Raw genomic sequence first — 13,138 nt, forward strand, 5'->3', positions numbered from 1 at the left:
GCAAACAAAACTACAATAACAACAACAAGAACAAAATAAACCTGCTCTGAATATTTATGAACAAATCTTCATAGAGACATATGTTTTTCTTTTTCTTTTTTTATTTTTTGAGGTGAAGTGTTTCATTGTCATCCAGGCTGGAGTGCAGTGGTACAATCTTGGCTCACTGCAACCTCCTCTTCCTGGGTTCAAGCGATTCTCCTGCCTCAGCCTCCCGAGGAGCTGGGATTACAAGCACCTGCCACCACGCCCAACTAATTTTTGTATTTTTAGTAGAGACGGGGTTTCTCCATGTTGGCCAGACTGGTCTCAAACTCCTGACTTCAGGTGATCTGCCCACCTTGGCTTCCTCCTTTTATTTTTGTTGAATAAATACCTAGGATTGAGGCATGTTGAACTTTTTAAGACTGTCAAAATGTTTTTTGAAGTCATCGTAACATTTTATATTCTCACCTCTTGTATGACAGTTCTAGTTCCTCCAAAGTTTTGCCAACACTGAGTAGGATCAGTCTTTTTAATTTTAAGCCATTTTAATAGTTATGTAGTAATATCTCCTTGTTATTTTAATTTGTGTTTTCCTAATGACTAATGATGTTGAGTATCTTTTCATGGGCTTATTTGCCATCTGTATACCTTTTTTAGTGAAGCATCTGTTCAAATCTTTTGCTCATTTTGGTTGGGGGGGGGTTGTTTGTTTTCCTGTTATTGAGTTTTTTGTTTGTTTGTTCTTTGAGACAGGGTCTGGCTCTGTTGCCCAGGCTGGAGTGCCATGGTGCAATCTTGGCTCACTGCAACCTCCACCTCCTGTGCTCAAACTATCCTCCCACCTCAGCCTCCTCAGTAGCTGAGACTACAGGTGCACTCCACTGGCTAATTTTTTTTTTTTTTTTTGATACGGAGTCTTGCTCTGTCGCCCAGGCTGGAGTGCAGTGGAGCAATCTCGGCTCACTGCAAGCTCCGCCTCCCGGGTTCATGCCATTCTCCTGCCTCAGCCTCTTGAGTAGCTGGGACTACAGGCGCCCGCCACCACGGCCGGCTAATTTTTTTTTGTATTTTTAGTAGAGACGGGGTTTCACCGTGGTCTTGATCTCCTGACTTCCTGACCCACCCGCCTCAGCCTCCCAAAGTGCTGGGATTACAAGCGTGAGCCACTGCGCCCAGCCTCCACTGGCTAATTTTTTTTGTATTTTTGGTAGATACGGGGTTTTATCATGTTGCACAGGCTGGTCTTGAACTCCTGGGTTCAAGCAATCATACTGCCTTGGCCTCTCAAAGTGTTGGGCTGGGATTATAGGCATAAGCCACCATGCCTGGCTAACAATATCTTTTCAAGAGCAGACGTTTTAAATTTTGATGAAGTTCAATTTATCAGTTTGGTTTATTTTTCCTTCCTTCCTTCCTTCCTTCCTTCCTTCCTTCCTTCCTTCCTTCCTTTCTTTCTTTTGTTCTTTTTTTTTTTATAGAGACAGGGTCTCACTGTATCTTATCTTCCCATTCTCTTAACAGTATCTTTTTGTAATTTTTTTTTTGTATTTTTTTTATGGAGATGGGGTACACTATGCTGCCCAGGCTGGTGTGGAACTCCTCACCTCAAGCAATCCTCCCTTCCTGCCTCAGCCTCCCAAAGCGCTTGGTATACAGGCATGAGCCACCACACCTGGCTCAACTCAGCCTTTTAGTGATTGTGCTTTTGGCATCATATCTGTCTGGAATGTCTTTGCTAACCCAAAATCACCATCTTTTTTTTTTTTTTCTTTTTTTTTGAGACAGAGTCTCACTCTATCGCCCAGGCTGGAGTGCAGTGGCACAATCTCTGCTCACTGCAACCTCTGCCTCCCAGGTTCAAGCAATTCTCCTGCCTCAGCCTCCCAAGTAGCTGGGGATACAGACGTGTGCCACCACACCTGACTATTTTTTATACTTTTAGTAGAGATGGGGTTTCGCCATGTTGGCCAGGCTGGTCTCAAACTACTGACCTCAGGTGATCCACCCATCTTGGCCTCCCAAAGTGCTGGGATTATAGGCACGAGCCACCATACCCAGCCCAAGATCACCAATTTTTCTCCTAGAAGATTTATAGTTTTTGGTCTTACATTTAGGTATGTGACTTAAATAATTGCATTTAAGCATATGATTGAGTTAATTTTTTTTTTGAGACAGAGTTTCACTCTTGTTGCCCAGACTGGAGTGCAATGGCACAATCTCGGCTCACCGCAACCTCCACCTCTGGGTTCAAGCGATTCTCCTGCCTCAGCCTCCTGAGTAGCTGGGATTACAGGCATGGGCCACCATGCCCAGCTAATTTTGTATTTTTAGTAGAGACAGTTTCTGCATGTTTGTCAGGCTGTCCTCGAACTCCCGGCCTCAGGTGATCCCACCTCAGGTGATTCGCCTGCCTTGGCCTCCCAAAGTGCTGGGATTACAGGCGTGAACCACTGCACCCGGTGATTGAGTTAATTTTTATACATAAGGTGAGGCACGAACAGAAGATTTTTTTTTTTTTGCATATCTATGTTTAATTGTTTTAGCACTATTTGTTGAAAAGACGCTTTGTCCATTGAGTTGTATAACTCAATAACTTTATGGCTTGTATAAAATAAGTTGTGATACATGTGTGTTTCATCGGATTTTTTTTTTTTTTTGAGATGGAGTTTTGCTCTTGCTGTCCAGGCTAGAGTGCAATGGTGCGATCTCGGCTCACTACAACCTCTGCCTCCCAGGTTCAAGCGATTCTGCTGCCTCAGCCTCCCAAGTAGCTGTGATTACAGGCATGTGCCACCACTCCTGGCTAATTCCGTATTTTTAGTAGAGACCGGGTTTCTCCATGTTGGTCAGGCTGGTCTCGAACTCCCGACCTCAGATGATCCATCCGCCTCGGCCTCCCAAAGTGCTGGGATTACAGGCATGAGCCACCGCGCCCGGACTGCATTGGATTTTTAAATGCTTCAAAGGTCATGAAGCACTGTTATCAAGGCAAAAGCAAGGACTTTGGCTGTAGGTACAGCTGGGTTAGACTCCTGGTCTTGCCACCAACGTGAGGCACAGTTGACCTATGAAGTAGAAACAATGGTACTGGCGCCTCAGGATGTTTGCCACTTTTTTTTTTTTTTTTTTTTTTTTTTTTTTTAGAGTCTTGCTCTGTCACCCAGGCTGGAGTGCAGTGGCACGATCTTGGCTCACTGCAACCTCCACCTCGCAGGTTCAAGCAATTCTTCTGCTTCAGCCTCCCAAGTAGCTGGGATTACAGGCATATGCCACCAAACCCGGCTAATTTTGTATTTTTAGCAGAGACGGGGTTTTGCCATGTTGGTCAGGCTGGTCTTGAACTCCTGACCACAGGTGATCCACCCGCCTCGGCCTCCCAAAGTGCTGGGATTACAGGCATGAGCCACCACGCCCGGCCTGCCATGTTTTACAATGTTCTCCTGGATTTCTTCTGTCCTTTTCTGCTCTCCTCCCAGGTAACATAGGGGACTGGGAAAGCTGATCCTGGTCCTGAATAACATCTCTTAATTCCTAAGGTCCCTAGATTCGGAGCTCTAGGAAGGAAAGAAGGTAGGGCTAATGGGTACAGTGTTATCTATAGGACATCCAACACAAATCAGCCATTTGCTCTGGGCAAGGCTGTACAGGCAGATCCCAATGCAAAGTCTCTTTGCTTTCAGTGAATTTGTGCACAATCTTTTTTCTTCTTATTTATTTATTTATTTAAGACAGAGTCTCGCCCTATTGCCCAGGCTGGAGTGCAATGGCGTTATCTCGGCTCACTGCTACCTCTGCCTCCTGGGTTCAAGTGATTCTCCTGCCTCAGCCTCCCAAGTAGCTGGGATTACAGGCATGTGCCACCATGCCTGGCTAATTTTTTGTATCTTTAGTAGAGACGAGGTTTCACCATGTTGGCCAGGCTGGTCTTGAACTCCTGACCTTGTGATCCATGCGCCTCGGCCTCCCAAAGTGCTGGGATTACCGGCGTAAGCTACCGTGTCCGGCTATTTATTTATTTATTTTTGAGACAGAGTCTCGCTCTGTCGCCCAGGCTGGAGTGCAGTGGCACGATCTCAGCTCACTGCAACCTCCGCCTCCTGGGTTCAAGTGATTCTTCTGCCTCAGCCTCCCGAATAGCTGGGAGTATAGGCAGGTGCCACCATGCCTGGCTAATTTTTGTATTTTTAGTAGAGACGGCGTTTCACCATATTGGCCAGGCTGGTTTTGAACTCCTGACCTCGTGATCCACCCACCTCGGCCTCCCAAAGTGCTGGGATTACAGGCGTGAGCTACAGTGCCCGGCCTTTTTTTCTTTTTAGAGATGAGGTCTCCCTTTGTTGCCCAGGCTGGAGTGCAGTGCAGCGATCATAGCTTAGTGCAGCCTCAACTTCCTGGGCTCCAGAGATCTTCCTGCCTCAGCCTTCCTAGTAGCTGGGTCTATAGACACGGGCCACCACACCCGGCTTTTTTGACTTTTAGTAGAGATGAGATCTCTGCTATGTTGCCCAGGCTCGAATCAAACTCCTGGGCTCAAATGATCCTCCTGCCTTGGCCTCCCGAAATACTGGGGTTACAGGCATTAGCCACAATGCCTGGCTGTACAAACTCTTGCCATTTATGCAGGGCAAAAGCCCTGCTCTACACAATTATAACAGGCATAATTTGTTATTACTTGATCAATGGAATTTTTTGATAGGCAACATTTTTCAAAACATTGGGCTCATGAAGAAATAATAAAAGAAATGCTAGGTGATGAAAATAATGGAAACGACTTGCTTAGATAAATGAAGCAATATGACCAGACACAGTGGCTCATGCCTGTAATCCTAGCACTTTAGGAGGCTGAGGAGGGCGGATTGCCTGAGCTCAGGAGCTTGAGACCAGCTTGGGCAACCTGGCAAAATCCTGTCTCTACTAAAAATACAAAAAATTAGCCGGGTATGGTGGCGTGCATCTGTAATAGCAACTACTGGGGAGGCTGAAGCACCAGAATCACTTGAACCTGGGAGGTGGATGTTGCAGCGAGCCGAGACTGAGCCACTGCACTTCAGCCTGGGCAACAGAGCAAGACTCTGTCTCAAAAAAAAAAAACAAAAAAAAAAAAACGAAGCAATATGGATCTTGCTTTGTGGTTTCCAGTGTGTTGTAAGACGTGATACTACAGCAAGAAACTCTCAGACTGATGAGGAGAAACTCTCAGACTGATGAGGGCTTCATGCTTAGAGGTTTCCAGTGAATGCAAATGAAATGCTCTAGCTTGGCAGTGGAAAGGAGCAACGCGTCTGCCGGATCCAGGACAGACGGGCAAGGTGTGAATCTGAGTGCTTACTCGCTGCTGTTTACCATGGTGGTCCTAAGTTTCAGCACATGCCCTCTCAATTTATTATGAATACATGTATAATTAATCAGACTTTTAGCTAAAGTCAGTCCACATCCATGATTGATCAGGGTGTGTTGCAGCTAACCCTCAATGCTTGCTGGTTGCTAATTAATGGAAGAATTTCTGGTGGCATCAAATCTTGGGGCAGGAGATCATCCAAAACTATTCCCCATTTGGTTTACACAGGTATTCTGGGATGATTCATTCAAATATTTCAAATATTCATTTGACTTTTTAATAATTTGCTATGTAAAAATATAATACACACAATCTAGAAATGTTGAAAAATATGAGTTAAGAGGAAGAGAAACACACAGCGGGGAAAGAAAGAGAACATTCGTGTTCTCAAAGCCAAAGAGAATCACTGTTAACAATTTCTTCCTAGACTTTTTGTTATTTCAATTAGTTTTTTTTTTTTTTTTTTTTTTTTGAGACAGAGTCTGGCTCTGCCACCCAGGCTGGAGTGCAATGGCTTGAGTTCAGCTCACTGCAACCTCCACCTCCCGGGCTCAAGCGATTCTCCTGCCTCAGCCGCCCAAGTAGCTGGGATTACAGGTGCATGCTGCCAAGCCCGGCTAATTTTTTTTTTTTTTTGTATTTTAGTAGAGATGGGGTTTCACCGTGTTGCTCAAGCTGGTCTTGAACTCCTGAGCTCAGGCAATCCACCCACCTCGGCCTCCCAAAGTGCTAGGATTACAGGCGTGACCCACTGCGCCTGGCTATTTCAATTAGTTTTTATTATGACATATTTATACTTAACAAACGTAATATCCATAATATAAAAGGTACATGTGCTGTTTTTTTGTTTCGTTTTGCTTTTTGAGACTGAGTCTTGCTCTGTAGCCCAGGCTGGAGTGGAATAGCGCAATCTTGGCTCACTGCAGCCTCCGCCTCCCGGGTTCAAGCGATTCTTGTGCCTCAGCCTCCCGAATAGCTGGGATTACAGGCGCCTGCCACCATGCCCAGCTAATTTTTGTATTTTTAGTAGAGACAGGATTTCACTTTGTTGGCCAGGCTGGTCTCAAACTCCTGACCTTAAGTGATCTGTCGCCTTGGCCTCCCAAAGTGCTGGGATTATAGGCTTGAGCCACCACGCCTGGCCTGTGCTGTTTTAAGAATGATAAAACAAGCACTGTGTAGTTGCTACATGGATTAAGAACTAGAACATCCTCAATATCTCTTTTTTTTTCTCAATATCTTTGAAGTGCCTTCTGTGCCCCTCTGCAATCAGCCCTGTGCTACTTCCCCAGAATGAACCACACTCTGGAATTTTGTTCATCATTCTTTTTACTTTTGTTAAAGTGTTACCTTTTCTGAATGTATACCTAAACAATACATTGTTTAGTTTTGGATATTTTGGAACTTATGTAAACAAAACCATAATGTGTCTGTTCCTCAGTTCTAGGTTTTGTTTTGCTTTTTACCTTAAATAATTTTTTTAAGAGATGGAGACTTCTTATGTTGCCCAGGCTGGATTCAAATTCCTGGGCTCAAGCAACCCTCCCTCCTCAGCCTCCTGAGTAATTGGGACTAATGGTGCGCACCTTTGCTTCCCAGGTTTTTTAGATTAACGCTGTGAGACTCATCCATCTTGGCTTGTGTGGGTGAAGTTCATTCATTGACACCGCTTATTAGTACTTCACTGAATGAGTATACCAGGCATTATTATCTGTTCTCCTATTGATAAACTTTAGTATGGTTTCTAGTTTTGCTATTATAAGCAATGCTGCTGTGGATATGCTTGTACAACATGTCTCTGGGCACGGATTTCTGCAGGTAATTTCTAGTCTTTTATGCACGTGTAGTTAAATTTTTTTTAAAAAGGTTCCAATCATATGAACTATATGAACACAAATACTGTTTTGTGTTCATTTTCTGTAAACTTTTTCTCAAATTTCTCTAAACCCTTTGGAATGTAATATTTCAAGTGGTTATGCTAGAAGTTATTTGAATATTCCTCTTTTAATATTTATATTGTTAAAACTTTTCTTCCTTTCTTTTTTCTTTTTCTTTTTCTAGACAGGATCTCACTCTGTTGCCTAAGCTGGAGTGCAGTGGCACCCATCTCGGCTCACTGTAGCCTTGATCTCCTGGGCTCAAGCGATCCTTCCACCTCAGTCTCCCGAGTAGCTGGGACAACAGGCATGTGCCACCAAGCCCGGCTAATTTTTTTTTATTGTTGTTTGTTTATTTTTTTTTTTGAGACGGAGTCTTGCTCTGTCGCCCAGGCTGGAGTGCAGCGACGCGATTTCTGCTCACTGCAAGCTCCGCCTCCTGGGTTCACGCCATTCTCCTGCCTCAGCCTCCCGAGTAGCTGGGACTACAGGCGCCCGCCACCACGCCTGGCTAATTTTTTTGTATTTTTAGTAGAGACGGGGTTTCACCGTGTCAGCCAGGATGGTCTGGATCTCCTGACCTCGTGATCCGCCCACCTCGGCCTCCCAGAGTGCTGGGATTACAGGCGTGAGCCACCGCGCCTAGCTCCCAAGCGCGGCTAATTTTTAAAATTTTTCGTAGAAATGAGGTCTCATTGTGTTTCCCATGCTGGTCTCGAATTCGTGGGCTCAAGTGCTCCTCTGGCCTCAGCCTCCCAAAGTGGGGGGATTACAGGCATGAGCCACCTTGCCCAGCTGAAAGTTTTTTTTGACGGTTATTAATAACACATCTTTATTCATTGTTTTGTTTGTTTGTTTTTTGAGTCGGAGTTTCATTCTTGTTGCCCAGGCTGGAGTGCAATGGCACAATCTCGGCTCACTGCAACCTCTGCCTCCTGGGTTCAAGCAATTCTCCTACCTCAGCCTCCCGAGTAGCTGGGATTACAGGCATGCACCACTACGCCCGGCTAATTTTTGTATTTTTAGTAGAGACAGAGTTTCTCCATGTTGGTCAGGCTGGTCTCGAACTCCTGACCTCATGTGATCCACCGGCCTCGGCCTCCCAAAGTGCTGGGATTACAGGTGTGAGCCACCGCACCCGACCCTGTTTGTTTGTTTAGATTTTTTTAAACCAATTTTTTTTTTTTGCCTTTAAAAATATCATGATATCATGCCTGCAATCCCAACACTTTGGGAGGCCAAGGTGGGAGGATCTCTTGGTGCCAGGAGTTCATGACCAGCCTGGGCAATATAGTGAGATCCGGTCTCTACGAAATAAATAAATAAATAAATAAATAAATAAATAAATAAATAAAAATGAGCTGGGCATAGTGGTAGCTTGCCTGTAGTCCCAGCTGCTCAGGAGGCTGGGGTGGGAGGATCACCTGAGCTCAGGAGATCAAGGCTACAGTTAGCTCTAATTGTGTCACTGAACTCCAGCCAGGGCGACAGTGAGATTCTGTCTCTTAAAAAAAAAAAGATAAAATATACATAATAAAATTTACAATTTTAACCATTTGAAGCATAAAATTCAGTGGCTTTAAGTACATTCACACTGTTATGCAACCATTACACTACCCATCTCATGAATTTTTTCATCCAAAATTGAAATTCTGTACCAACTACGAATCATCCATTTATCCTTTTGCTTTGGCTTATTTTACTTAGCATGTTTCCAAAGTTCATCCATATTGCAGTAGGTATCAGAATTTCATTCCTGTTTAAGGCTGAATAATTTTTTTTTTTTTACATACTGGATTTTTTTGTAGAGAGGTTACTCAATAGTGCAATTTCTAAGTGAAAGAGAAATTAATTTTTAAAGGTTCTTGTTGCCTTAAAATTGTCCTCCCACACAGCCATATGGAATGTTTATTTCACTATATTCTTGCTAGTAATGAGTATTATAAATATATTTAAAAACACGCAACCTTACTATTTTCATGAACTGCTTAGTTTTTGTTTTAATTTAGCCTGCTATAAAAATTGGTTTGCTTTCTCCTTGGGTGTTCATAGCTGTATTGACAGGTAGGACATTAGGTGAACATCTGCTCTGGCTGAGGGGCTATAACAGACGACCTGGGGACCAATGAGAAGGGCTGTCTTGGGGTAACGTTTTTGCTTTGGATGATATACAAAATAAGAAATCTTTATGTATGTAGTTAGTGGGGTGCTAGTTACATTCCCAGAAGGAAGAACCTAAGAGAGCTCTTGGCAGTAGGTGTATGTGGGTTACCTCCTTAAGACTGTCATCCTGGCTGTGGGGCACTAGAGGATATCAGAATGGCAAAGGGCTCTGTAATTAATTCTGATGGTGGCTGTGATTGCCTGAAGCCCTCAGTTGAGAATTCTGAGCCGGTGTGACCAGACACAGAGGAAAGCGGTTGCTGACCTTGGGTACAGAACTGCCATGGGCACAAAACTGTCATGGGAACAGAACCAGGGAGCAACAAGCTCAAGCTCAGAGATGCCCCTTGGTTGCTATTTTTGATATAGACCAATTATCCTTTTAAATGACTACATTTATCTGTATTTCATCTGATTGTGTTGTATTTATTTAAAAGAAAAAGGCGCTTACAGGCTGAAAACAGCATCTTATCTGATCACAATGATCACATCTTCTCAGATAGTATCAAATATACTTATTCAGTAGATTTTTACTGTCAGCACTGTTAGACACCCTGGGTGATACAGAGGCTTTGCCCTCAAGGATTTGGTCATAAAATGCTAATTACAAATTTAGTTATAAGCAAAGTAGGACATGGAAAAATGACACAAAAATGTCAAAGTGTCTGATGAATGTTCAGCCAATAAAAACTGGGAATACTGGAGCGGAGTTGTTCTGGGAACTGAATCATCCTGAGGTTCTCCTAAAAAATGTAACAAGTTTCCCCTTTTGGTGTATAAAATAATTCAAGCATCTCTGCATCCTTCCCTTTCACTAGAAGTAAGTTTGAATGAGAACAAGTTAGTGATAGTGGGAGAGGGAGAAGAAAAAGGACAGAAAGTTTGGTTAGGTATATTGATTTAAGAGAAGGAACAAATCAGTTGAGGGGCAGAGGAGCAGGAGAATAATAAAAGGGTAAAGAGAAGCAACAAAGAAAAAGAAAAATTGAAAAGAGGGTAAAGGTAAAGGGGGAGGAGGAAAGGAACTGACAGTGTCCGGAGCGGGAAGAAAAATGGAGGAACAAAAGGAGAGGGGGAGGAAGAGAGAGGGGAGGGGCAGGGGCAGGGGGAGGGGCAGGGAGGAAGAGGAAGGTAGGAAAAAAGATGGGTCAGGAACCTCATTTTAAAGCAATTTAGAAATAACTCTGAATTCTTTCCCTATACACTTTATAAACACATTTTAGAAATGAAAAGAAAATTATAAGAATGTACTCAATAATTTATTATATAAATGCTCACCAAATATTTTCAGATTGTGTTTAAGAGTGGAAATTAAGTTGTGTTGATAATAATTCTTTAAAAAAAAAAAGGTGGAGGTGTTTATAGGAGAGTTGGGTGAACCAAAATTCTCTCTAGATTGTTAACTCATGAAAATTAGGAGTCACTTTTAGAATTGTGTCTCAGTTTAGTCAAACAACCATTTAAAACAAAAATGCCATACTATTAGGCTGAGTCTCTTTTCTTTGTAAATCTGGTTTGTACATGAAGACAGATTGAACTGTTTTAAATTAATTTTTTGGTGATGAAATACTAGTGAAATAATATTTCTTAATTTTTAAAATTTAAAACAACAAAAAACCCCAACATAGCAGCATTATCCCTAGTAACTGAAATATTTGTGGCAGCTCCTGAAAAAAAATCCTAAACAGGAGTAGTCAGTTAATCTCATCATTAGGGGTAAAATTTTTAGAAAAGCAAACGAAAATAATTTGCTGAGTTAAAAAATTCTTTTAGTCTTAAAATGTATAGATGTTGTGTAGCTAAAATGGAAACTTCATGAAGTTTGACATGTAACTGATTAATTTCGAATTAAAATAATTTAAATATTTAGAAGATATGTTGATTTCAAGTACAAAATTGTCTCATTACTGTTTCCACCTTAATATTTATATATGGATTCCTTCTCTTTTGTTGCTTTTTACAATTTATTTTGAAAAATAACATTTTTTCCTTGTCTTTTCTTGAATTATACAATCCCCCCCCAAATCAATCAGTGATCTATTTTGTGTTTTGTGCTGTAGGAACTAAACAAGATCGTACATTATCTTTTGATCAAATGACTTTGGAATAAAAAAAATTACAAAAGGTAATAAGAATGTAATGTGAAGCATGTTATTGACCATTTCTTCTACATGTATTAATAGAGGTTGGGTGGAGTAGTTTACTAACAAAATGAATTTGAAAACATCTATTTTTAAAGTTAATAAAATAAATGATCCCCTCCTTACCTAAAAGTTTCTACATTGTAAACCTGAACCAAAACAAAAAATTGAGAGGTTTTGTCAAACACACTGTGTGACCCACAGAAAAACAAACGATTGTCCTTAAAGTTCTTTTTTCCCCTTGAGCCTCTTCTATCTCTGGAATAAATACATTTCTTTCTCAGGTCTTAAACACTGAACACTTTTGAATGAACGATAATTTGAAGGAGAAAAATTTCCTTTTCTGCTTACAGTTTGCTTACATTTTATGAGATATCCTAAACACATACTTATCCTTATTTATTTGACAGGAGAAAAAGCTGCATGTGCTTTTAAACTGGAACTAATTTACACTTTCTTAAAGTTTATAGGCATTTAAAAGAACCACACTAAGACTTTAAGTTGCAGGAAGAAACAAAACATCCTAAAGTAGTAACAGTAAAAAAACAAGCAAGCAACAACAAAAGTAAATAAATAAAATAAAAACCAACCAAACAAAAAACAAATTCCTCTAAAAACTTTGAGGTTAAAGCAGCAATATATCAGGAAATGTGAGCTTTCCTTTTTCTGTATTTTATAGCAACCGTAATTTTATTCCAAAATTGATGGATTCATTAGAAAATAAATTGTATTTTAATGTATTTCCCTCCTAGCTGCTTTCCATTTGTTTTGTTCTTTCTTTTGTAAAACATGCTACACTTTAAAAATAGAAGAGTCAGTAAGTGTTAGATTTAAAATGCAATATATATTCTGGGGATTTATGCAAAGGAGCTAACCCCAAAAAGGAAAAATTTATATTCACCAGAATATCTGTTCAGCACTGTTTACAAAAGTAAAAAATTTGATGAAATGTATATCTAAATATTATGATTAATAATTTACACATATAACTGGACTGAATTAAAATGATAGTTATGAAAACTTGGAGGCAGCCTGGGGAAATATTTATGGTACAAATGCAAGTGAAAAATTAAGATATAAAAATGATAAATTTTAAACCATTATAAATGGACAAATGCTGAAAAATAAACATTTACAAGTAAAATTAATTTTCTATGACAAGTGAAATTATTGATTTTTAATTTTTCTATTTTTTCTTTTTTCATTTTTTTAAACTTTTTTCTTTCCTTTTTGTCTTTCCTTTTTTTAACTTGGCTTATTTCTCCAAGAAAAATATTCTTTTATTTTCATCTTTAAAAAAGTTGGTTTATTCTCTCAAACTTTTTTTTTCCTCTCTGCATGTATTTGTATATTCACATTGGAGGAAAATGGATTATTATCCTATCTTTAAAATGGAGTCAAATGTCAGTGTTTCTGAATTCAGATAATTAAATTCCATAACTAGACCAAACTGTTCTCCAGGAAAAAATAAAGAAGAGGAGGAAGAGGAGGAGAACAAGAAGAGGAAGAGGTATAACAGTATTAATATTACTATGTAGAATATACAATATATATTATATACGATATGTATTATAAAGGATAATTATTAAAGAAAAAACCATTTAATCCTGTAGCTATATTTTTAACTCTTACAC

Source organism: Homo sapiens, chromosome 17 (assembly GCF_000001405.40).
Source record: "Homo sapiens chromosome 17, GRCh38.p14 Primary Assembly".
NCBI classification, from domain to species: Eukaryota; Metazoa; Chordata; class Mammalia; order Primates; family Hominidae; genus Homo; species Homo sapiens.